At 47.3% G+C, this 25,574-nt stretch overlaps 4 annotated features.

Moving 5' to 3' along the window:
• Nucleotides 7,698-8,461: an enhancer, noted in NCBI's record as "H3K27ac-H3K4me1 hESC enhancer chr10:133329536-133330299 (GRCh37/hg19 assembly coordinates)". NCBI's record gives its function as "activates a minimal SCP1, AML or CMV promoter by ChIP-STARR-seq in primed H9 embryonic stem cells {active_cell/tissue: H9 hESC(primed)}" and the evidence as "EXISTENCE:reporter gene assay evidence [ECO:0000049][PMID:30033119]".
• Nucleotides 9,515-10,015: an enhancer, noted in NCBI's record as "H3K4me1 hESC enhancer chr10:133327982-133328482 (GRCh37/hg19 assembly coordinates)". NCBI's record gives its function as "activates a minimal SCP1, AML or CMV promoter by ChIP-STARR-seq in primed H9 embryonic stem cells {active_cell/tissue: H9 hESC(primed)}" and the evidence as "EXISTENCE:reporter gene assay evidence [ECO:0000049][PMID:30033119]".
• Nucleotides 22,669-23,195: an enhancer, noted in NCBI's record as "H3K4me1 hESC enhancer chr10:133314802-133315328 (GRCh37/hg19 assembly coordinates)". NCBI's record gives its function as "activates a minimal SCP1, AML or CMV promoter by ChIP-STARR-seq in naive H9 embryonic stem cells {active_cell/tissue: H9 hESC(naive)}" and the evidence as "EXISTENCE:reporter gene assay evidence [ECO:0000049][PMID:30033119]".
• Nucleotides 24,595-25,159: an enhancer, noted in NCBI's record as "H3K4me1 hESC enhancer chr10:133312838-133313402 (GRCh37/hg19 assembly coordinates)". NCBI's record gives its function as "activates a minimal SCP1, AML or CMV promoter by ChIP-STARR-seq in naive H9 embryonic stem cells {active_cell/tissue: H9 hESC(naive)}" and the evidence as "EXISTENCE:reporter gene assay evidence [ECO:0000049][PMID:30033119]".

Genomic DNA, 25,574 nt, shown 5'->3' with positions numbered 1-25,574 from the left:
AAGAAAAAGGTTATCCACAGTCTGGGAAGTGCTCGCCTGGCGGCAGGTCTGCAGCCCCTGTACCTCCACTGCTGTGGGAGGCTTGGCGGCTCTTTACTGCAGTTCCAAGTCCTACGGATTCACTGCAATGGATGTTTCCGTTTTCTAATCATTAGTACCTCTTTTATTAAAGAATCAAAGTGAAATAAGGCCACTTAAAACAAACATTATATATAAAAGTGTTGCTATAAATAATTTGAAAACTAGATAAAATTTTAGGTGCAACATCACATTATTTCTGCCTACATTAGTGTTTTCTATATAAACTTTTACAGCCTGAATAGATTGGTCTTGCTCATTTAAAATTATTTTTAGTTACAAAAGAGGTGCATCTTTAATGTTGAAAAATTTATGCATAAGCAAAGAGATGAAGGAATCTGCCATTATTACCATGGTTAATATTTGGTTTACATCCTTCTAAGCATTACAAAAGAGACAGAGGAAAATACATCTTGCATATTATGTTGTTTTAAATATTTTTTATTTCATATAGTATAAGCATGTTTCACATCAATAAGTGTATGTCTGTATTTCATTGTTATCAGTTAACTGACAACATAGCAAAATGTGCCTAATGAATCACATATTAGCATTTAGAAATTTCCAATTTTCCACAATTAAAAATAACATGATATATAAATATATGTATACATAGATACATATATACTAGCCAAGTAATGTATTATTTATTGTTGTTGCTAATGCATTTTTCCATTCTATTGTTTTGTTTGCTGTTAATATCAAGGAAAGCTATTATTTTTGTACACATTCAGTACATTTTTATGGGGTTTACAAGCAGACATGCATCTCCTCCTTAAATATCCACATTTTCTGTTCTCCATTCTACTGTTCATGCTCTTGTTTAACTTACTCTTTTCATTGCATTGGGTGGTATTTTCATAATTATATTGGCTTTTAGTGATGATGGGCACCCATGCCTTATTCCAGATTTTAATTGTTCCTCATGGTTAGAATTAAGATGCTGGTATCTGATTTCAGATGAATATATTTTGTCATGTTAAGAAAGTTTGTTTTTATGTTTAGCTTGCTACGAGCTTAAAAATCAATTACAAATGTTGTGACACATCAAATGCACTTTTCACTCCTTATACACGTGTCTACTCAAAACAGGTTAAAGACTCAAAGAGAAGACCTGAGACTGAAAAACTAATAGAATGAAATGCGGGGAAAAGCTGTGTGACATTGACACTGGACTGGGTAGCGAATTTTTTGGGCATGAACCCAAAAGCACAGGCAATGAAGCAAAAATAGACAAATGGGATTGCATCAAACGATGAGGCTTCTGCACAGCAAAATAAACAATTGGATGAAGACTCAACTCACAGATTGTGAGAAAAATCTTTGCAAATCATACATCACACAAGGGATTAATATCTAAAATACACAAGGTCTTAAACTACTCAGTAGTAAGAAAACAAATGACCCTACTTTAAAAAGGGTCAACGACTGAGTAGACATTTCTAAAAAAGAAGACAGACAAATGGCCAGCAGATACATAAAACAACCACTCAACATCTCCAGTGATCAGAGAGCTGCAAATTAAAACCACAATGAGATCTCACCTCACATCCGTTAGACTGGCTATTATTAAAAAAGATGAAATATAACAAGTAATGGTGGCTCGGCACGGTGGCTCATGCCTGTAATCCCAGCACTTTGGGAGGCCAAGGAGGGCGGATCACCTGAGGTCAGGAGTTTGAGACCAGCCTGGCCAACATGGTGAAACCCCGTCTCTACCAAAAATACAAAAATTAACCAGGCGTGGTGACAGGTGCCTGTAATCACAGCTACTCAGGAGGCTGAGGCAGCAGAGTCGCTTGAACATGAGAGGCGGAGGTTGCAGTGAGCCGAGATCTCCCCACTGCACGCCAGCCTGGGTGACAGAGGAAGGCTCCATCTCAAAAAACAAACAAACAAACAACTACCAAGTATTGGCAAGGGTGTGGAGAAAGGGGGCCCCTTGCACACTGTTGATGGGAATGTAAATTAGCACAGCCAATTTGGAAAACACTGTGGAGGTTCATGAAAACACAGAAACTGGAATTACCATATGGTCCAGCAATCCCACTTCTGGGTGTGTATCCAGAGAAAATGAAATTAGTGTGGGGAAGAGATGTCTGCACACTCATGTTCATTGCAGCATTATCCACAGTTGCCAGGATATGGAAACAATCAAACTGTTGATCCATGGATGAATGGATTTTTAAAATGTGGGGTGTATACACAGGGGAATACTATTTGGCCTTTAAAATACAGGAAATTCTGTCATTTGCAACAACATAGATTAACCCAGGAGTGAAAGAAAGCAGGCACAGAGAGACAAATACCATATGATCTCACTTATTTGTAGAATTCTGAAAGTCGGACTCAGAAGTAGGGAGTAGAAGGGGGTTACCAGAGGCTGGGGGTGGGGGCTGGGTGGGGAAAGGGGTGACATTACTCAACAGGCACACTTTCGGTTAAACGGAAGAAATCAGTTCTGGTGTTCTATGGCCCAGCACGCTGACTATAATTAATATTAATGTATTGTGAAAGGAAAATACAATCTCAGTACCGTGAATTCTCTATGCCAAAAGGGAAAAGTTAAGCATGGAAGTGGAGACACCAAAAACAAACAAAAACCCCTGCCTTTCCTTTTGTTCCTAAACCGATAGCTTCAGATAGGTGGCCATGTCTGCCCTCCCGCACCCTGGCAATGCAAACTAACCGCCCATCCTTATGGGTCTAGGACAGAAGCAGACTAGAAATGGCACCTTGCCCACCTCGTGATGAATGCGTAGTGGCCTGCTCCCTCCACTCGATGTCCACTTCCGCTTATGTAAAGCGCAGATTTACGGAGCTCCAGACGAATGCATGATTGACTGTGTCCTCCACCCCCTCCTTTCACCTGCAACATGTGGATTCACAAGAGTGTTGGGTCGGGCGCGGTGGCTCACACCTGTAATCCTAGCACTTTGGGAGGCTGAGACGGGCGGATCACCTGAGGTCAGGAGTTCCAGACCAGCCTGGACAACATGGTGAAAACCCGTCTCTACTAAAAATACAAAAATTAGTTGGGTGTGGTGGTGGGCGCCTGTAGTCCCAGCTACTCGGGAGGCTGAGGCAGGAGAATCCCTTGAACCCAGGAGGCAGAGGTTGCAGTGAGCCAAGATCGTGCCATTGCGCTCCAGCCTGGATGACAGACAGAGATTCCATCTCAAAAATAAATAAATAAATAAATAAAAATAAAGCCACACACAAGAATGTGATCATTCCCTCCCTCTTTCTGTTTCTTTCTCCTTTCCCCTCCTGCCCGCTTTTCTCTTTATGTTGAAGCCCTCAAAACCCTCTTTGGAAAAAGTGGGGGCTGCAGGCCCTACTGCACCTCGTGTCTCTTTTCCCAGGTGCAGCCTCAACCTTGACAAAAACCTCCGCATGGACCTAGACGTGTCTCAGATACTTTGTGGCTTGCAGTACTGTATATTTAAAAATAGCAAAAAGAGAAGATTTTAAATGTTGCCACCACAAATAAATGATGAATACTTGAGGCACTGGAGATGCTAATCATCCAGATTTGATCGTTCCACAATCTACCCACGTGCTGAAACCTCACATTTTATGCTATAAGTATAAAGGATTGTTAATTGTCCATTAAAATAAACTGAACCAACAAAACAAAACATTTTAACTTACTTGGGATGGCTTATATTTCTGTATTTGCCAATACCTGCCAGTTCTTGCAGTCTGCTGGCGAATCTCCCCTCCGTTGTGATATTGGTGCCTGTGTGTGAGTGCGTACCGCACACGATTTTGAATATTGGATCTAAATAAATGAGATGAGAGTATAGCACTCCTGTCTGTATCTTGTGAGATTCGATTGCAATTTCCATGCTGGCTTTGTAAGTTAAATTGGGAAATGCTCTTCAACTCTATTGCCCTGGAACAGCGTAAGGGGCACACACATCACTTGTCTCTTTCCATGTTATTCTTCATTTCTGAGTGACGTGTGCTGCCGTGAGTGTGGGGGCTGCTTTCTCGCCCCACAAACTTGCCAGTCCCTTCTCACTGCATTGCCATCCACCTCTGAGAATTAGTGCTGGCGAGCCATGTTTTCCTGAAAAATGAAGCTTCTCATCAAGACTTTAAACACCAACAATTCACAGGTTTATCCATGCAACTGGGGCCATGTCCTCTTTCTCATATCCTTCTGCATTTATTTTCTCTCCCTTTGTAATTTCTAATTTTGGAAAGTTTTATTTTTATTAAAGTTGGCTCCTAGCTTTATTAATACATTGTATTAATTTTTATCTTTAAAATTTCAGCTTTGTCATTTAATATGTCCAGGTACTGCCAGCAGATCTGAGGCAGCAGGTCTGCCATCAGGGCAGACCCTGGGGGGGTTTGCATGGAGAGTGGGGTGAGCATGCGAGAAGCACTGTCCATGCAGGGAGCACCTGCCCGGCTCCCCTGGGACCACACCTCCTTTCCTAGCACCCACGGCAGGCCAGGGTGGATCCCGGCTCTGTGATGCCGGGGAGAAAATCAGCCCTCTCAGAGGTCGTGGGACATGTCCAAAGGGGTCCCAGTGGACAGGATCCCAGGCCTGGAGGTCGTCTTTGAGGCCCACATCTCTTCTACTCATTGCAGCTCCAGACCTGGGGTCCAGAGGACACGGGACCCTGGCCCTCCCAGGCCCTGACTGTGGTTGGCGGTATGCAGGAAGTCCCTGTGGATTAACCTCCCGGACCCTCGAGCTGAACCTCCACCAGGAAGCAGCAGCTGCTCTGAAGGTGGGGAGCAAAGGTCTGTCTACCTGCCCAGGTGAGGCCAGGGAAGGACCCCACCAGAGGCAGGGACCGCATTGGTGCTGCCGGCTGTGCTTGGACCTGGGTTATAGGTGGTCAAGAAGCCAGCTGGGAAGCTAGAAGGAGAGGTAAAAAATGCCGGTGGCGTCAGAGTGAGAAAAAACAAAACTTGACAGAATCCAACTTATTACCCCAAATGAACACATTACTTTGAGTGTGTATACCCAATCGGTATCTTTCCCTACATTAATAAGCTTTTTATTAGATTATTTAAATGACAACAGTATTTGTCATTAGCTCCTCCATGAATCATTTGAATTATGTATGTGGTTACTGAGATAAAATTCAACCTTAAAGCACGTTGTGATGTATTTTTGCAATAAAAATATCAAGTTCATTTAAACAATTGCTTTTTAAAACACTGTCTCTCTCCCAGTGGGTTTTCATTGATCAAATTAGGAAAAGACAAAGGCTGTCTGGATTATTATAAATTCCGAATATGAGGCAGATAAAATGATGATTACGTTGACTCACCGGCCAGCCTCAAACCCACATGCCCAAACTGACCTCAATGACTAATAAATTGTATTATGAGTCTGCAAAAGGAAAATTAGAGCTAGAGTAGGGAACAACAAAAGGCTATACGTTGAGGGGTTTAAATCTATTAATGCTCTTCTCTGAACATGAGAGTTCAGAGTGCTGATGTATCAGCACCACCTTCTCCTGGGACACCTATAGCTCTGACAGCTGTGATCCTGCTGCCCGGCATGTGCAGAGGTCACAGGTCTGGAGGTGCGACGCGGTTCACGGGTTTGAGGGATGGGTTGTGTTCCCCCAGTTCTCAGCCATGGGCCGCGGCATCACGGCGGGCTCTGCTCCTTCAGTCCTTGTGGTAGCAAGGCCAGGCCTGGAACATGCTCCTAGCCTTGGAGCTTCTGTCTGCAGCCCCTGCCAGGCTGATGCTCTGGGACCTTCCAGGCCATTGCGTCTTAACCCACGTTTCTCAGAGCTGCTGTCGCGTGCTAAGGAAATGCACATGGGGGTCCAGGAGAGACATGGCCTCTGCACTCTGGACGTGAGTTAATTTGAAGGTTTAGGGGAATGTCTCGTGGACAGGCCCAGCCCTTCCTGTGGCTTGCAGTGTGCACCACCTATGTGCCCCCGGCCTGCAGGTGCTCCAGTGTGGAGTGGGGTGGGGGCCAGTGCAAACCTCCAGATGACAGGGAGAGAGCAACGGGGTCCTACGCCAGGGGTGGGGAGCGGAGATGAGTGTCCCCCACATCTACGCACCCCTTGCTCCTCACAGCAGCCTGGGTGGCAGTGGATGGGTGTCCCGGGGCTGCCTCACCCCACGAGGGGTTAAAACCACAGAAGCTCATTCTCCCTGTTCTGGAGGTGGAAGCATGAAGCCAGGGTGAGTGCAAGGCCGTGCTCCCCAGAGACTCTAGGGGAGGATCCTCCCTGTCCCTTCTGGCTTCGGATAGCCGGGGTGTTTGCATCTCTGCCTGCATCTTCACTCGGCCTCTCCCCTGCATCCGAGCCTCCTCTGTGTCTCTCATGAGGACACCTGTCATTGGGCGTCAGGCCACTTGGATAATCCGGGATTATCTCTTCTGGAGCTCCTGAGCTTCATCACATCTGTAAAGACCTTTCTTTCCCAATAAAGTCAAGTTCGCCGGTGCCAGTAGATACTGCAATCCTCCTACTTACAGATGGGGAAGCGCCTGTGCAGAGGGGAGGACGGGAGCGAGGGGCACACGGCAGAGCGGGGGCTGCCCTGGGGGCCTGCGGCCAAGCCCAGGCTGCCACCCGGGACATAGCCTGCCCTGCAAGCACATGGACCCACGTGAGGGGCATGGACAGTTAAGGTCATGCCTGAATTACATACGCCCTGTGAGCACAAGGGCCCTGGGAATGGGAGTCAGGGCTGTGCGTTAGCTACCGTGTTTCCCTTCTCAACTCAATCACAGGTACAGGTGAGAAAGACGAAGGCAGCCTCTGTGTCCAGACCTGACTCCGGCTGCGGTGGACCACAGTGTCGTCACCAGGGGTCTGATGTGCACAGCGGGCCATGCTGTTCTCCCGTCGGACGTGAATGCCCTCTGGGAATAGACCAGGTCACCCTGAGCCTGTGATAAACGGACACATCACAGGTCCACTTCATAATTTTTTCTAAGCACCGACACCAGCAAGGTCACGTTGCTCTTTCCAACACGTCTAGTCTCAGGCCCCTCAGACTTCCTGGCAGCAGCTGCCTTAGAACAAACCGCTGCTTCTTTAAGTCCTCCCCAAACCCCAACCAAAGCCGCGGGTCTGCAGCAGGCTCCACCACTCTCTGCGGGACCCACATTTCAGCCTCTGCAGTGCACACCTGCCTCGCTGTGGGGGCCCAGCCCACCTGTTCCCTGCAGCTGCGCACCTGCGGGCCTTTGGCCTGAGGCAACGGGGAAGACACAGACCCCGTCCTTGATAAGCTTATGGGATGCGTGGAGCCATATTCCCCCAGGGCATTAGGAAGAAGCTGATCAGCGGGCAGGAAAGGCAGGGCCACTCGGAGGATAGGGGGCCTTTGGGAGGGGCCTGACAGGGTGAGATCTGACAGGCAGGGCTGGGGATGGGACGGCAGAGATGCCCGAGGAAAATGACCAGGGCGGTCCGGGAGAGGGAGGGGAGGGGCCGAGGCTAGGGATGCAGGTCAGGAGGGCCTGGCCATGGCCCAGATCACGGAGGACACCCAGGTGTGGCAGTTGAGCAATGGTGGGACCAGAGGCCAGATAGGCTTGAGGGGACGCAAGAATCTATTCGGGGCATTTTGAGTGTGAGACGCAAGTGGCTCCAAGAGCAGATCCTTGTAGGTGTTTGGATGATCCAGCCTGGACTGGGGGTGAGGGCTCTGGCAGGTTTGGATGATCCAGCCTGGACCGGGGGTGAGGGCTCTGGTAGGAAGCTGGGCTCATTGTCGTGCAGGTGGAGGCAGAAGCACACACCCCATGGCAGCCACCATCCAGCCAGGGCCACGGGGTGCGGGGGCAGAGAGCCCAGCTGGAGGGTGTGATGAGACCACGCGGGGCAGGCCTCCAGACTTCCTGTGGGCAACACGGCTTCTGCCCTCCAGGTCTGAGGCTTCGGGCCGGCCAGCAGCTCCACACGGCGGGCCCGGGGTAGGTCAGTAATGTCCTGCACCCCAGAGGGATGCAGCGTGGGGCAGCTCTGTGAGCCCTGAACAGCAGCTATGGAAAGGAGGGGCATCTGCGTGGTGTGGAGAGGGGCCAGGAGAGCCCCACGCTGTTCCTGAAGATGCTGGGAGCGGGGGACCACTGCTCTATGGCACTGCTCCCCCTGGGTGTGGAGGGAAAAACCTGGAACACCCCCTAAACCCACTCATGGTGGAAGTGGTGGCTGGGACCTCGGTGTGTGGAAGACGGGTTCTGCCTTCATTGTCAGTGGCTGCAGGGTCCTCAGGCTGCGGGTCTGCACCTGCCCCCAGTCCCTGGTCTTGGATTTGTCTTGGAACCCTTTTGAATGAGTCCCTCCTCCCTCAGCTCAGCATGCTCCTCCCTTATCGAGGGGCTTTGTGGAAAAAGGCTTCAAGGCTGCCATGGGCTCTAAGACTCAATGGCGTGAACGTGTCTCTTCTTGGTACAAGATTTACAAAGGTTCACACATGCTGGAACCAGGATTTTTTTTTAAAAAAAGAAAAGTTTTCGTTTTTAATTTTGTTTTTGGGTTAGAATCTCACTCTGGCACCCAGGCTGGAGTGCAGTGGCGTGATCACAGCTCACTGCAGCCTCAACCTCCTGGGATCAGGTGATCCTCCTGTCTCTGCCTCCCGAGTAGCTGGGACTATAGGCACGAGACACTATGCCCAGCTAATTTTTATTTTTTTTTGTAGAGATGGGGGCTTACTATGTTTCCCTGGCTGTTCTTGAACTCCTGGGCTCAAGTGATCCTCCTGTCTTGGCTTCCAAAATTGCTGGGATTACAGGTGTGAGTCACCACACCGGCCAAAAGAAAGTGTATACATCGACAATTCACAGAAAAGGCTCCAAGGAGTTTACCCACTTTCCTGGACTCAGAAACCTGTTATTTACTCTGTGATGTGGTAAATAATGAAGTTGGATTCCAGGTGAGCGACACCTGCTTTGTCCATGTGACTGTAAAACTGTCGGCGAGGCTTCAATTATTGGCAGAATGGTGGGGCCCAGAGAAATGTAATGAGCTGGGGACTATCTCCTCTGCTTCCAGGGTGTGTGTGTGGTTTACAGAGAACTGTTCTGTACCCTGGAGAAAGGCTGCCGACTTAGGTGCTGTCTTTAAATGACTGGCTGGCCTCAGCAGTCATAACAAAACAGCTAATAGGAAAAACGCAGGAGGGAGCCAGGTGCCAGCCAGCAACCCCCTGCTCGAGGTTCCATGGGGATCCGATGCACAACTGCCACTCCCCGGCTCTGATGGCACCTCCAGGAAGCAGGGGGTCTCTTTCTATCCTCCTTGGATTCAGTGCAGTGGTCTCCCCGCCATGGCCCGGTCTCCTGCTCGAGGGTTCAGCCCATCCTCCCTCTGGCTTGGGCCCAAGATGACTTCCCTGGAGAACTGTCTTTGGGCTGAAGGGGAAATGGGCCTTGGTGGGTGCGGGCTACTGAGTGGCAGCACGGCTGAGTCCAGCACCACGCAGCAGGGAGGGAGGTGCGTCCCCTTGAGGGTGCTGGCAACGGAAGCACAGTTACTTCCCACTCAACAATAGCAACAGGAGTGTCCCAAGCGAGGGCTCCTCTGCCCTTCGAGCAGGTCCCAGGGAAGACCTGTGCTTTTTCCAGCCTCATGGGCCCCTGGCATGACCTGTGACGGGTTCTTGGAGGCAGGAGCAGAGTGGGCAGCTGGGTTGAGGGTGCTTGTCCTCCTTGGTGGAGGCTGAGCGCCCCATCCCTCCCCTTCCTCCTGCCCTCATTGGCCCCAGGCCCTAGAAAACAGCCTTCTCCTCTGTTATTGTTAAAGGCACTTTGATTTTTAAAAAATATTTTGGTATTTCATTGATTCTGAGACTTCTTTTTCTCCACATTAACTTTTACAATCTGTGACATCTCACACTAGCTGCAGGCCAGGTTGCAGTCACAGGTATCCGCAAGCGACCCCAAACCTGACAGAACAGCCATCAGAGGCTCCAAGGCAATGCTCAGAGCTGGGCTCCTTGAACCCCTGGAGATGGGATGGTGTGAGGAGGGTGAGAAGGCGGTGAATCCAACGTGTTTAGCAGCATTCCGTGAACAGGAGTCAAACCAGGCTCGCTCTGCAGAACTGGATGCGGGGATTGGATCCCAGACCCCATGAGGGTAGCGCCTCCCTTAGTGTCCTGTGAGAAATGTCCCTCTGCAAGCCTCCTGACATCACAGAGGCTGATATTGTTTGGAAAACAGAGATCAATGACTCTGATTTGAGAAAGATTCAGAGGGGTCAGACCCTGAATGTGGAGTTTTAGAAAATCCTATCCAATTCGTATTATATATAATATAATCATAATATATCATATATTATATATAATACGAATTGGATAAGATTTTCATATCATATACAATAATATAATATATGATATATTATATTTATTATATTATATTGTATATTATAAACCAACATCACATTATATTATACATATTAAAATTATGTACAGTTAAATACATAAATCTTAAGTTTGTATTTAATGAATTTTGATAGATACACCCATGTAACCCACAATCCAATCGCAACATAAAATATTTCCATCACCCACAAGGATTCTTCCTGCTTCTTCCTGGTCATCCCCAGCGCCTCAGCCTTGGAGGCAACCTCTGTTTGGACTTCTGTCCCGTAGGTTAGTTTGGCCTGCTTTAAACTTCATGCATACAAAATCCCGTACGATCACACAGGACGCATCGTATGAAGGTGGCGCATGCACTGGGAAAAGCGTCTGTGGGGTGAAACTAGTTGGTTGAATCTTTTGTAATCCTAATTTTTTTCTACTTGTTCTATTTTTGGATTTGTCTATTCTCCCTCAGTGTCTGCCAACTTTCGCTTGTGGATTTGAAGTCCAGGTATTGGGAACAGATACCTCAGGATTGTTGCATCTTCTGGATGATCAACCGTTTCATCCTTGAGATGTGGCTCTGCCTTCCTGCCTGGCGTGGGCTCTGCCCTTAACGCAGCACGTGGGCTCTGGGGAGTGTTGCCGGCTGGGTCCCCACAGCCCTTCGCTTTTAGCCTTGGTAGCAGGCTAGAATCCGATTCGTTTTGTGCCATTGTTGTTTGTCTGTTTTGAGTCCAGTCTGACGACGTTGGCCTTGCTTGAGGTGCTCAGGACATTTGCACTCAGTGTAATTGTGGTGTGAAGTCGGCCACATCGCTCCTTTCTTTCATTTGTCTCGTTTGCTTTTGGTTTCTCTGTTGCTCCTTTTCTTGCTTTCTGGCAGATTATTTAACCACTGTTCTAGCATTCCATTTACTGTCTTCTCTTGATTTGATATTAGATTCTCTTTTTGCATTTTAGTCATTGCTGTAATGGTTATAATATGAACTTGTCTTGATCTAGGAGGAGCGAACATCATACCACTGGGTGTAAGATGTAGGAAGCCTGCAGCACAATGCTTCCCTGTGCCTGTATCCTGGGTGTGATTATTGTCATGGATTTTACTTCAACCAATTTAAAAATTGCTATTCATTATTATCAGTTTACAAACAGTCACTTGTCATCTAAGTAATTAAGATTTCTTTTTTCTTTTGAGACAGAGTCTCGCTCTGTTGCCCAGGCTAGAGTGCAGTGGCACAATCACGGCTCACTGCAACCTCCGCCTCCCAGGTTCAAGCGATTCTCCTGCCTCAGCCTCCTGAGTAGCTGGGATTACAGGTTTGCACCACCATGCCCAGCTAATTTTTGTAATTTTTAGTAGAGATGAGGTTTCACCATGTTGGCCAGGCTGGTCTTGAACGCCTAACTTCAGGGTGATCCGCCTACCTTGGCCTCCCAAAGTGCTGGGATTACACGTGTGAGCCACCGTGCCTGGCCCAGAAAAAAAGTTTTAACCCCCGTATTTATATTTGGGTGCTCTTCATTCTAACTTGCAAACCTGCTTCCAACACTGTTATTTCCTTCAGGCAAAGGGCTGCCTTTTGTATTTTTCGTCTTATGGGTCTATTGGATACACATTTTCTCTGCCCTCATTTATTGAAGAATATCTTTATTCTATCTTCGTTTTTTTCTGGATCTAGAATTCTAGTTGGTCTGGGCGCGGTGGCTCACACCTGTAATCCCAGCACTTTGGGAGGCTAAGGAGGGCAGATCACGAGGTCAGGAGTTCAAGACCAGCCTCGCCAACATAGTGAAACCCCATCTCTACTAAAAATACAAAAATTAGCTGGGCGTGGTGGTGCATACCTGTAGTCCCAGCTACTCGGGAGGCTGAGGCAGGAGAATTACTTGAACCCAGAAGGTGGAGGTTGCAGTGAGCCAAGATCACACCACTGCACTCCAGCTTGGGCAACAGAGTGAGACTTTGTCTCAAAAAAAAAAAAAAGAATTCTAGTTTTGCAAAATTTATTTTCAGCTCTTTGAATCCGTTATTTCACCATCCTCTGGCCTGCCTGGTTTCCGATGAGAAGTCAGCAGTCACTCTTCTTACTATTCTCCTGCGCAGGTGTCTAGTTTTCATTTGGCTGCTTTTTAGACTTTTTTCTTTATCTATAGCTTCTGTCAGTTTAACTCTGATGTGTCTAGATGTAGTTTCCTTTGAATTGATCACATTTGGCATTGATTAAGCTTCAGGAATTTGTGGATCGCTTTTGTTCCTTAATGAATTTGGTAAATTTCTAACAAGTACATCTTCATAGCTTTTTTTTTTTTTTCCCTGCCTTAACCTTCTTTTGCTTTCTGGAAATTTAATTCTACATAGTGTAGACTGGTTGAAATTCTCCACATGGTGCTGATTCTATGTTTGCTTTTGTCCAGCAATGTTTTAGATTTTTGAAAATAAACTATTGATTTTAGAACAGTTTTAGATTTGCAGAATTATTGTAAAAGTAGTGTAGACAATTCTCATGTACCCCACCTCAATTTGTCCTATTACTAATATCTTACACCAGGATGGTACATTTGACGCAATTAACGAACAAACAGTGAAGGTTATGATTAACTAAATTCACCGTTTATTCAGATGACCTCTGTTTTCCCCTCATGTTTTTTTCTGCCCTCAAATCCTGTTCAGAATACCATGTTCCATTTAGTTGTCACATCTCCATAGGCTTCTCTTAGTTGTGACAATTTTTCATACTTTCCTTTTTTTTTTTTTTTTGAGACAGAGTCTCACTCTGTCACCCAGGCTGGAGGGCAGTGGCGTGACCTCGGCTCACTGCAAGCTCCACCTCCTGGGTTCACGCCATTCTCCTGCCCCAGCCTCCCGAGTGTCTGGGACTACAGGTGCCCGCCACCACGCCTGGCTAATTTTTTGTATTTTTAGTAGAGATGGGGTTTCACCATGTTGGCCAGGATGGTCTCGATCTCCTGACCTCATGATCCACCCGCCTTGGCCTCCCAAAGTGCTGGTATTACAGGCGTGAGCCACTGCACCCGGCCTCAAACTTTCCTTGTTTTTGATGACCTTGATGGTTTTGTGGAGCACTGGTCAGGAATTTGGCAGAATTCTCTCAATTGAGAAATGCTTCCCTAATGATCAGACTAGGGGAGTATGTTTTTGGGAGGAAGAGCACGGGGTAAAGTCCATTTTCATTGCGTCTTATCAAGGGCACATGCTATCAAAGTGACTTATCACTGTTGATGGTGACCACAATCATCTGGCTTGAGGTGGTGTCTATCAGGTTTCTGCACCACAGTTAATCTTTTCTTTTTCTCTCCATTTTCAAACTGCTTGTTGGAAGAAGGTCATTTAAGGAGTGGGAGTTACACTGTAGATGGGAGATCTTCCATAAAAGAGACATTTCTATCTTCTCCAATTTATTTATCTATTCATTCAATCATGTGTTTACATCTTTATTTTTATTCTTTTGGTGATAGTATGACACCGTTTACTTTATTTTGTGAGAGTTCTTTTAGCTGGTTCTTGTATTCTTCTGGCATACGCCCATCTTTGTGCGTTTTGTTTGTTTGTTTGCTGGAGCTCTTCTGTACTTTATGGCACTAAAAGGTGCTCCACACTTTTCTTGCATATTTTCTGTCCCTGTCCTAGAAGAAGCCATTTCTCCAAGGAGGCTTGGTTCCTTTTTCTAGAAAATGGTATTAGAGACCAAAATCTGGGAACTAGGTGTGCTTATCACTAGGCTGATGTCACTGCTTCTAGGACTTGTTAGCTGATAGAGCAAGACATGAGTGTCTATTCATCCTCTTAGATGAACAGGTTTGTAAGTATTTCTATTTGTAACCATCTGTATCTATGTTAAGCTCAACATGAGCTCTTACTGATGCTTCCATGTATGTTCACTTTTTGTGCAATCTATTTCTTCTCTCTCTCCTTAAGCTTGGATTTCTATTGACATTAACTTCATGGGTCATTGCTTTTCCAGTCTGCTTTCTGCTATTATCTTGTACATTTTGGCTTTCAGACATTGTGTTTTCAATTTTAAGTGTCCATTTAGTTAGTTTTAGAGTTTCAATTTCTCTCCTGAAATATTCTCTCTCCACATTTTCTCTCCACCTTTCCTGGGAAAGTCTGTAATGTGTCTACACTAAGTGTTCTCATACCGTTGTTGACTGGTTCTAACCATTGTTGGCTGGTCATTGAGATCTGCTCCTACTCACTGTGTCTCGTTTGACTCTGGGGGACACGTGTGGCTTCCATGCACGCTGCATTATCATTTTCAGTTGGTTATAGACATGGTTTGTGAAGCAGAGACTGAAGGGTAGCTTTTTGTTTTGCTTATTTCCCAGGGGCTTCTAGGCTGATTTTTCATATTTCCAAGCTTATAGTTGAGGTGGTGCTGGGTCTCTGCTTTAACGAAATTGAGCTCACTGTCATAGCCAACTTGTCACACAATTTTCTGATCTTGCCAGTATTTGATCCAGGAGGGGGTTGCCTGCAGTTTCAGATATTTTTGTCTCTGCTTTGGATTCAACTGCAAAAGAACCATGGAATTCAGCCACTACAGGATGAAACAGGATTAGAAAGTTTCTCTCTGGCTAGCCGCTCCTCTGCTACTGTGTTTTTTTGGCAAAACTCAGGTAGGAGGTGATTGGGAGGAATCGTGGGGCTGAGTGATCTGTCCTTGCCTCTGGAGTTCTTGCAGATGATGAATCAATCTCACCAACTTACACTGTTCCTCAAGGCTGTGATGACAGCCCTTCATGTCTGCAAAATTTCCACACCTGTTGCAGCCCCAGGCAGCGAAGTGTTCACAGTTCTCTCATTTCCTGTGAAAGGCTCTTTGACCTCTGAAACTCAGCTCCCTAAGCTTCCTTCTATTGCTACTATTTGTTAGCTCCATAAAAAGTAGAGGCTGGGCACTGTGGCTCCTGCCTGCAATCCCAGCACTTTGGAGGCCGAGGTGGGCGGATCAGTTGAGGTCAGGAGTCTGAGACCAGCTTGGCCAATACAGTGATACCCTGTTTCTACTAAAAATAGAAAAAAAAACACAGCCAGGTGTGGTGGTGTGTGCCTGTAGTCTCAGCTACTAGGGAGGCTGACGCAGGAGAATTGCTTGAACCTGGGAGGTGGAGGTTGCAGTGAGCTGAGATCGTGCCACTGTACTCCAGCCTGGGTGACAGAACAAGACTGTCTCAAAAAAAGTATAATTCTTGTTTTGTCTTATTTTAAATTTGTACTACTTACTAGTGAGAGACTTTAAGGTTGAAGCTCTGCCTCGGATTTAGAAACTAATTTACACTAGGGGGATACGTCTTTTGGTGTCGTAGTATCACTAACTTGTCAATCAACGCGTTTCAAGGGAAAATGCTTGAGGGTGAAGTAACCCAAAGCTTTTCTCAGCTAAGCCCAGCTTGTCTCAAACATGACCCATATCAACCAGGAAAGACCAAGTTACAATAAATGAATGAATGAACAAAAATCGTTCTCATAAATTGAATGTAATTTGTACATTTAATATACAAAATTTAATTTAATGTAATTTAGGTATAGTATATTACATCATGAATTTTTTCCCCAAATTTTTCAGATACCATACTGAAACCATCCATTAGTCTCTTTTTGTGTTTACTCTTAATGTGCTGGTTTTCTAAAATCTTGTTGTGTGGTCTGGGACCTCAGCTAATATCGTGGGAAAGTAAGTGGTGGTGGAGTGTGGGGTCTTGTCTCTTACTCTGTATTAGTCCGTTTTCATGCTGCCAATAAAGACATACCTGAGACTGGGTAATTATAAAGGGAAGAGGTTTAATGGAATCACAATTCCATGTGGCTGGGAAGGCCTCACAATCATGGCGGAAGGTGAAAGTTACATCTTACATGGCAGCAGGCAAGAGAGAAGGAGAGACCAAGCAAAAGGGGTTTCCCCTTATAAAACCGTCAGATCTTGTGAGACTTATTCGCTACCATGAGAACAGTATGCGGGAACCACCTCCATGATTCAATTATCTTCCACTGTTTTCCTACCACAACACGTGGGAATTATGGGAGCTACAAGTCAAGATGAGATTTGGGTGGGGACACAGCCAAACCATATCATACTCCAAAGTTGAATAAGATTTCACGTACTGAAGGGAGCCCAGACTGTATGAATTTCCAGGTAGTTTGGTATTTTCAGGGAAAAAAAAAGAGAAAGGAAGAAGCATTATTCACATATATTTTATGAGTATAGACTGTATATTCATAAAAGAACTATGCTTTTTCAAAAAACTTAAGTCATTGTGTGCTTCAAGGCTTAGATGTGTTACATGGAACATATTTTTCAGTTTACAGTGGCTTAAAGACCCGTTGGTAGGCGGTTGTCTTGACAAATGTATCTTTACATCACATGTGGTACTATTTGTGTTTGAAACATTTGTATTTTCCGTGGTTACACATTTGAGGAATTATCTGTCCAAGTCACAGGAATGAATCAATGATGCCAAATCAGTTTTTTGATCAGAAATTGCCTGTGTACCTTTTGAGTGCATGGGCAGAAAAGACAGCAGTGTTTCTTTTTCACTCTGCACAGCTCACATCGGTGAATGAGATGAAGCAGAATATGCCACTTGCACTGGTGACCCCAGCATTGGAGGTTTTGGGGCTCACTAGGGTGGGGCTTCTTTGTGGTGCACATAGAACCTGGGACTTTCTGAGCCTGTCATGAACCTATCTGTGTGGGACAAGGTACTTTGTGTGGGGTTTAATGTGCAGGGTTGGATGTCCCAATATTGTGTGAAGACTTAGCTGGATCTTCGGTCATCAAGACTCTTTCTGGGCACGTGAGAATTTCATTCATTCACTGGGAAAGCCAATGCAATGTATTTTTAAACATATTTAAAAATTGCATGCAAAAGCTGCCACAGGTCACAAAGAAGAAGGTTAAGTTCTGATGTACATAGGGAGTTTTGCAGGAATCCATGATTTGGAACCAGTGCACCTTCTGGGAATGCCCCACTGAGAAATTACTCCATTATCTTTACATTAATGCTCGAACAAAAACTCAGAATGGTGGACAGAGGTGCCTTTGCCACCGTGTAAGTATGCTGGTGAAATGCTAAGAGACCATGTTTGCTTATTTTAAAATCACATTCTCAAATTTTACTTATTGATTTGTTTTAGGATTGCAATAGATCTTTAAAAGTTTAGAATCAGTGGGCTGTGCCTTCTCTGTGGTCTATTCAGGCTAAAACTTTGAGAAACACCTATAGGTCTAAGAGACACAACGGCCCTTGATTTCAGCAGGGTTGTTTTTATTTCCTGGTAGTAGTAGCAGTGACAGTGGCCGTAGTAGAAGCTAACAGTTATTCAGATTATTAGGTGTCAGGCACAGATCTCAATCACAGTACTTAACATTTTTAGTCAACGCTGTATCTTCATTCATAGGCCCTGTTTGAAAACATTGAAGAATGATTAATGTGGTAGGTATTTTTCAGAAATTATCGATTAGACAACCTTGGAGCTTTATTAACTGGCAAGATTACCAAGGACAAAACTGTGTTGTACTTAACTACCATTTTGTACTTTGTAAATCTAAGTCACTTTAGTAAATAAAAATCATCCATCAAGACTATATTTTAGACCTTTTCCAAATGAAATAAATAATAGTATAGAGAGAAAACTCAAATATGTTAATTTTCTATACCTGAATTTAAAAATATTTCTAGTTATCCCTCATTCTCAAACAAAACATTAAAATTTATGATCTTTGGATAAAATACACTAAAGTCTGGAAATTAGCCAAATTATAATAATTATTAACATAGAAGTGATGTTCATGAATATCATAGAGCAGAATTTTAGACAAGATATAACCATGAAAATGATGGCATTTATTTTCTCATATAGTCAACCTTACGAATCCAAATTAGCTTCATCTTCCAAGTTGGTCACCTTGGGAACCAATATCCTTATTAAAACAATGTATTTTCTCTCCCCCAAGTCTGTTTAGAACATTCAAATTGTATTATCCTTCACAGTAAGTTTGTAATCATAGATACACACACATCTTATCATAACCGATGTTGGTAAAAGAACAATTTTAAAACTGAGAAAAATGTAGTATTCTGTGGTGTATGTGTACCACGTTTTCTTTATCCAATCTATCACTGATGGGCATTTGGGTTGGTTCCATGTCTTTACTATTGTGAACAGTGTTGCAATAAACATACACGTGAATGTATCTTTATAATAGAATGATTTATATTCCTTTGGGTATATACCCAGTAATAAGAATGAGATAGTGTCCTTTGCAGGGACATGGATGAAGCTGGAAGCCACCATCCTCAGCAAACTAACACAGGAACAGAAAACCAAACACCGCATGTTCTCACTCATAAACGGGAGTTGAATAATGAGAACACATGGACACAGGGAGGGGAACAACACACCCGGGCCTGTGGGGCGGGGGCGAGGGGAGGGAGAGCATCAGGACAAATAGCTAATGCATGCGCAGCTTAAAACCTCAGTGACGGGTTGACGGGTGCAGCAAACCACCATGGCACACGTTTGCCTGTGTAACAAACCTGCATGTTCTGCACATATATCCCGGGATTTAAAGTTAAAAAAAAAAAAAACTTAGAAAAACACATCTTTGTATTTTGGGCAAGTCAGAATACCCCCTCCTCCCTCGTGTTTCGTGGAATTTACTTCTCTCTCAGATCGTCCTGGGCTGCAGCTCTTCCCTTCCCGTGCCTATAGTTCAGAGGTTAAGATGGCTGCATGGGAAAAGTAAGACCGCAATGTGGGTGGAGGGAGCCGAAGATGCTGGAGGCCCAGGCTCTGACCCGCCAGGGGCCCCTGGGACGCATCCCCAGGGAGTGATGCCTGTGCTGAAAGCCCAAATTACAACTGAGAACAAGGTGAGGTACTGGTGGGAATCTGCGGCGCGTGGACGCACGGGGGCCAGGGTTGGGGGCAGGACGAGGGGGTCGGCTGGCGAAGCGGGGGCGTGCTCAGGTAGAGCATGGGATGGCACCCGAGCCCCACACACTGCTGCCATCAACATCCACCCCAAGGACCCTCTGGGACTCCTGAGTAGAGCCAGGGGCCCCTCCAAACACCTCCCACCAGTGTCTTCCTGGTGAGGCTGGCTACTCCCTTCTGACTCTGTAATTGAGGCTCCTTCTGCTTTTCTTCATCCCAAGCTTCCCACGGGCATTCTGGGGGAAAAGCCTGAGGTCTGGCCACGTTGCTGCTGGGCACCCACAGAGCCACGTGGCCCAAGCTCAGGGTCCCCGCCCCGCTCCTGGCCCCCGTGCGCCCACACACCGCCGATTCCCACCAGTACCTCACCTTGTTCTCAACTGTAAGGGAATCGAGGTGCCTCCCACGCCTCTCCATGAGTGGCCCTCGGCTCACGTTTCCGCGTTCAGCACCCATCTTGTCACCATTCACGCCCCCGCCTGCAGCTGACAGCACTGCCACGCCGTCACCAGTGCTGTGACCCAGCGGCCAGCAGGAAGGGCGCCGTGCTAGCGGGGTCTCCACGCGTCCTGTCTCAAGCAATCCTGGCGTTCTCCTCTGCATCCGCGTACAAATACACAGGATGTGGCTTCAGGAGAGTTTCTCTTTTACTTTTCTTCAGGGAAGTGAAGCTCTGAGGTCATTACAGATGCTGTTGAAAATGCAGGCTTTTACTTGAACATTTAGAAACATAAATAAATGACAGTTATCTGGGGATTCACAGCAGCGCTTTGCCTCTGCAGGGGCTGTCACTTATCTGTAAATTTATCATTGCTTACAAAGTCAAAGATTTCACTAGACATTTATTACACTTATAAACTTTTGGGACAAAAGTGGCACGTGGAAATAAGAGGAAAATAAAACTAATTTTTCGGGACACACGCTGATCACGAGCCTTTGACTGACGTGAGCGGCTTGCCGGGCATCACATCTGGTCGTTGTTAAAGGCGTTTTGTGGCCATGTCCACAACATACGCAGGGATTCCACCGTCTTCCATAAATCCCGTGATCCTCGGCCTGAGGTTTCAGGCTCCTCACAATACGTCCTTAGTGGCAGCATCTCCTTAGCAGGTTTGGGCAAGGATTCGCTTAGAAAAGGCACAGAAAGGGCTTAGCCCAGGGCCCTGTACATAGAAGAGGCTTCGTGGACGTGACCCTTCATTGTTTCCTACACGTGTTATTTTCTCATGAGTGGCACATTTCTCATGCAGGGAAATGTGCATGGGAAACGCATTTACCATCAGAAGTTACCACTGGGTTAGAACAGACTGCGGGTTGACAGGCTTGATGGATCCAGTTATTCGCATTTGTGGAACAAAGTGGAGTGCCCTCCACGGCTCTCAGTTCACAGAACAGTAGCACGGCCAGCATCCTCCTTCCTCCCCAGCCCCATCTACAGAAACAGGCTGCTGACTGGTTGTGAATCAAAGCTTGGGTCTATGCGAGTGTGACTTGGTGGATGAAGTTCAGTGTCCTGGTTTCAGCCTGTTCCTTGGGGAAAGAGAGGTAAGAAGATGTCAGATGCTGGAGAAAGGAGCCGGGCTCCCTGAGGGGCTGCGCGCTGGGGCCAGGGCTGTCTTCCGGCTGCGGGCAGGCTCCGTGCAATGCTTTGCCTGGGTTATTTTATATAATCATCGAGGGCACCTCATGGTGAACCTGCCATTATTATCCATGCCCACGGACAAGGAAACAGAGACTGGAGATGGGAGGAAATCTGTCCAAGGTCATCCAACTCTGATGCAGATGGTGGGCTGTGATTTAAACCCAGGCATCTGTCTTGAGGGTCTGTGCTTTCAAATTTTGTGCCTCCTGCCTCCCCATGTAAGATCACAGACAACACTAACCACTTGTCCTGGCATGGTCTATAAAACAGAAGCGGGGAGTGCCTGTGGCTCTGGTCTTGGGTTGGCAGCAGTGGACTCTTCTGTTCGGATTTTCCTGTTTCCTGCAGGGAGGAGATTTACAGTTCCAAGATAAACAGCGGAAAGTTCTGGAGAGGGAAGTTCTTGCTTCTACCTGGTGGGAGAAACACATGTATTATGACTCCTGGGATTCCAGCATGTTCTCTATCTATGATTTCATACCATTTTATCCTCTGTTTCAATATTTGTCTCCAATTTCAAATCCACTCCTCATGCTAACTCCCGTGGCTAACTTCTCCTGGGGGTCTGACCATCCCCGAAGCCCACCCCTCCTCGATCACCTTGTAGCACCTACACCTTCCACCCATCCCATCGGCCTGGAGTGATGGCGTGGCCCCTGCCCCCATGCGCTTGCTAAAGGTGCACTGAGCAGCTGGCAAGGCTGCCTTCCCCGTGCCCCCATTCTGCAGGCACTGGGGGGAGCCCGAGGGAAAGGGGGACTGAGAAGGAGTGTGAAGACTTTTCTCCCAGCAGCACTGTTGCTCCACCGCTGCATGAGGGGGGACTGAGGAGTGTGAAGACTTTCACCTCGCACCGCTGTGGCTTCCTCCGCTGCGTGGCAGGCCGTGTGTTCAACCGCAGCTATGAGCTGGGCAGCACGTGGTGAGAGGCTCGCCCCTCCGTAAGATGCTTAGATCAGGATATTTTACGATGAAAAACCTCTCTGAGTCCATGGGGAGGTGATTCTCTCTCAGCACATGAGATCTTTTCCTTCTCCAGCCCTGCAGTGTCTGCTTCTCTCCAGCAGCGAGGTAGGTGCTTCTCCAGGCCGTCAAAAGAGGGCAGTGAGTGTTTCCAGGCCCCAGGCCCAGCTGGGCACTGTGTCAGCTGCTGGGGGGTTTCAGGAAGGGGAAGTAAAAAGAATGGCTCATGCCTACACGGAACTGCAGTCTACTAGGATGGATAAGATATTAAACATGCACACACGCCCCATACATCATGAACAGGACATGATGGAAAAACGTGAGGCGGCACCCGGGTCAGGCGAGGAGTCAGAGGGTGCCCTGAGGACCAGCCCTCATCCATCCAGCCCCAGAGGCAACAAAGGCAGCAGGGCAGAGACCCAGGAGGACGATTAAGTCAGGAGTTGCACCTGCAACGTCTTGGAGGCAAGAAAGCAGGTTTCATGTGAGGAGCTGGGGAAGTCCAGCATGGCTGAGTGAGGGAGGCTGGGGAGCAGCTGGGAGTGGGGGCAGGGGCCCAGCAGCAGGGGCTTGGGGGCCTGGCTAGGTATGTGGATTTCCTTCAGGCAGTGGGAAGCCACCCAGCTTCCAGGTAGGACATGGGAAGGGCTGCCTGTCTGACAGTGGTCATGGGTGCTGGAGACCAGGGAGACGGAAGGCAGGAAGGGCGCTGGATGATAATGAGCGTGTCGGGGCTGAAGAGGGTGGTGGGGCAGGTCAGTGGCAATGGGAAGGGTGGTTGGATGGGAGAGGCCGGGCTGGGACAGATTCCGCAGGACTTGTTGCAGGTTTGGGTGTTAGGATGCGACGAGGAAGAGGGGGATGTTAGGCAGAGTGAAACCATTTGTCGAGAAGATAGCTTGCAGGGCCAGGGCCCTGTCCTTTTGGTCATTCAGGAATTCCCTGGCCCAGAGCAGCCCAGGGTGGGCGTGGCAACAATATCGCTGAGTGTTCCGTGAATTACAAAGGATGGAGGAGGGATGGTTTTGGAGAAGAATTCCAAGAGGTTGCTTTTGGGCGCTTTCGTTAAATGTCTGCAAGGCATTTCAAAGTAGACGTTGCCAGCACCTGCTGGAGCTCAGGGCAGACCTGTGTGTGGAAGCAGAAGTGTGAGGCTGACAGGCCTATGGGCCGAGTCCAGGCCTCAAGAGGGGATGGGATCCGCAAGGAGAGGGAACAGAGTGAGGAGAGAGGGATAGGAGAGGACTGCGATGGGCAGAGTGCTCAGCAGAGGCGGCGGGAGAGGCGAGCGTGCACCAGGGTGGCCAGGAGTCCTAGGAGAGATCCCAGCATCTGCTGCGGGAAGGACATAGGGAGACTGTGGCGAGAGCTGCAGGGAGATCAGAGACTGCCTGTTGGATTTAGTACCTTGGCCATGGCAGTGAAGAGCGAACCAAGCTGGGGGGGCACGGGCTATGTCACTAAACAGACTGTGGGGCAGGGGGTGTCTTCTGGGAAAGGCTTGGAATCTGATGTTGGAGCTGGTTTCAGCTCCAACACGAGAAGCCTATCAATTCCTCCAGGGAATTACTTACTTCTCTGGGTCTGTTTTCTCATCTGTAAAAGGGGGGATTTGGGCAAATCACATCAATGCCCTCTTCCTGTGCTTGCTTTCCATGAGTTTTGTGGAGGGTCTGAGCAAGCTACCAAAGGGAGTCCACTTGTTTTCTTCTTTGATTCCTCTTGCTGCTAAGAAACCCACAGCTGAGTTTTGGTGCTCCCAAAAGCCCAAATGAGAAGTTAGGCATCAAATGCTGCTGGGAGACCTGAACTGGCCGCACCGCTGGTCTCATGGGCCAGGCAGAAGGAGATGGGGAAGTAACACCAGCCAGTTACCCATCCAGCCACTCGCTTACTGCCCCTGCACAGTACTTTGGTGGAGGTTTTGCAGTCCTCATCCCATGGATGCCAAGCGATGCCTGAATTCTTAAATAACTTCCCCAATGTAGAATGGGTTACTCCAGTTTGAGCCAGGCCTCAGCTTGCGCCCCTAGCCCTGTCCCTGGGAAGCAATCGGTAAGAAAATGATGAACAGTCGTCCACCCCAAGGACTCGCCATCCCAGACTCATCCAGGGGCCTGCACCTGACTACGGCCAGTGTGCCACCAGCCTGGCTGTTGTGAGAAGACAGAATAGAAGTGTCTAGAGGTGGAGGTGAGAGCACAGGACTGCACTTGGTTCCCGAGTCTGCAGAGATAGCTCAGCTCAGCACTTTCCCAGTTAGTGAAGACATGAAAATGGACTCTGTAAGCACTTAATCTGGGGAGTTATTAGTTATGTAATTGACTGAAATTAGCTTTATGTACTGAGCATGATGGAGTTAGCTTTCTAAACAGGAATACTTTTTCTTGCTCATGTCAAATCTGTCTCTTAAATCTCACACTCCAGAGACTGTCCTTCTTTTTTTTTTTTTTTTTTTTTTTGAGACGGAGTCTCACTCTGTTGCCAGGCTGGAGTGCAGTGGTGTGATCTTGGCTCACTGCAACCTCTGCCTCGTGGGTTCAAGTGATTCTCATGCCTCAGCCTCCCGAGTAGCTAGGATTACAGGTACACACCACCACACCCAGGTAATTTTTGTATTTTTAGTAGAGACGGGGTTTCACCATGTTGGCCAGGATGGTTTCGAACTCCTGGAAAGACTCCTCCTTGCAGACACGTTGGGCTTTTGTTCAAAGACACTCTGTTCCTGCAGAGCCAGGGGCCTCTTTGTCAGCACAGGCCAGCACAGACGTCCAGTGGGACTCGGACATCACTCCCACTGGCAGTTTCTGCATGGAATTTTTTTCTGCCACAGAAAGCTCTGATTATAAAAAGAAAATGGGCTGAGAAATTAGATGGAAACAAACATCAGTTCTGTTCTGTCAGGGAACATGGGCTCGGCTCTACCCGTGGCCTCAGCTTGCAGATCTTGCCTGATTCCATTTTTATTAATGGAATCTGAGCAAATAGGTGTGCGTTTGCAAAGGTGCCCCGCCAAGCAAAGGAGGGCGCGATCTCTGTGAATGCATCTGGAAAGGAGGGGAGGGGCTCGGTGGCCACAGAGGCGTGAGCTGAGTCTTGCCACCCACGGGGCTGAGTCATAGTTGAGGCTTCGCGGAGCTTAACCAGTGATTAATCCCCTGACCACAGCTCCAGCCAGACAGCACATGGCTTGAAAGCAAGTGCTTTCTGCTTTCTGGGACTCTCCTGTCCCTCTCAGGGGCTCCCCATTCTCCTTCTCTCTGAAGCACGGGTCCCCAAAGCCATGTGCTCTTCTTTGAATAATGAAAGATTTCCCTTTAGCCTCCTAAAATTACTGTGAGAAGCATTTCGGCTAACTCCTCGTAGAGCTCTAAAAACCGCAGAGCTTATCACCTCAAACCTAAGTGGTGCCGAGAGGCATTTTGGGGACTCTGTCCTAATTTGCATTTTGTGCATTTGAATGTTTGCATCAGAATGAGTCTGAGATGGTCTGAAAAGAATGTTCCTGGCCTCGAGTACCTTCTTCTGCAGGTGAGACTTCAGACAGACTCTGGGCATTCAGACCATTGCAGATGTAGTCTAGGAAGTGATGCTTAGGAGGAAAATGCC

Source organism: Homo sapiens, chromosome 10 (assembly GCF_000001405.40).
Source record: "Homo sapiens chromosome 10, GRCh38.p14 Primary Assembly".
In the NCBI taxonomy this organism is placed as follows: Eukaryota; Metazoa; Chordata; class Mammalia; order Primates; family Hominidae; genus Homo; species Homo sapiens.
This window is presented reverse-complemented; position numbering and strand designations above follow the sequence as displayed.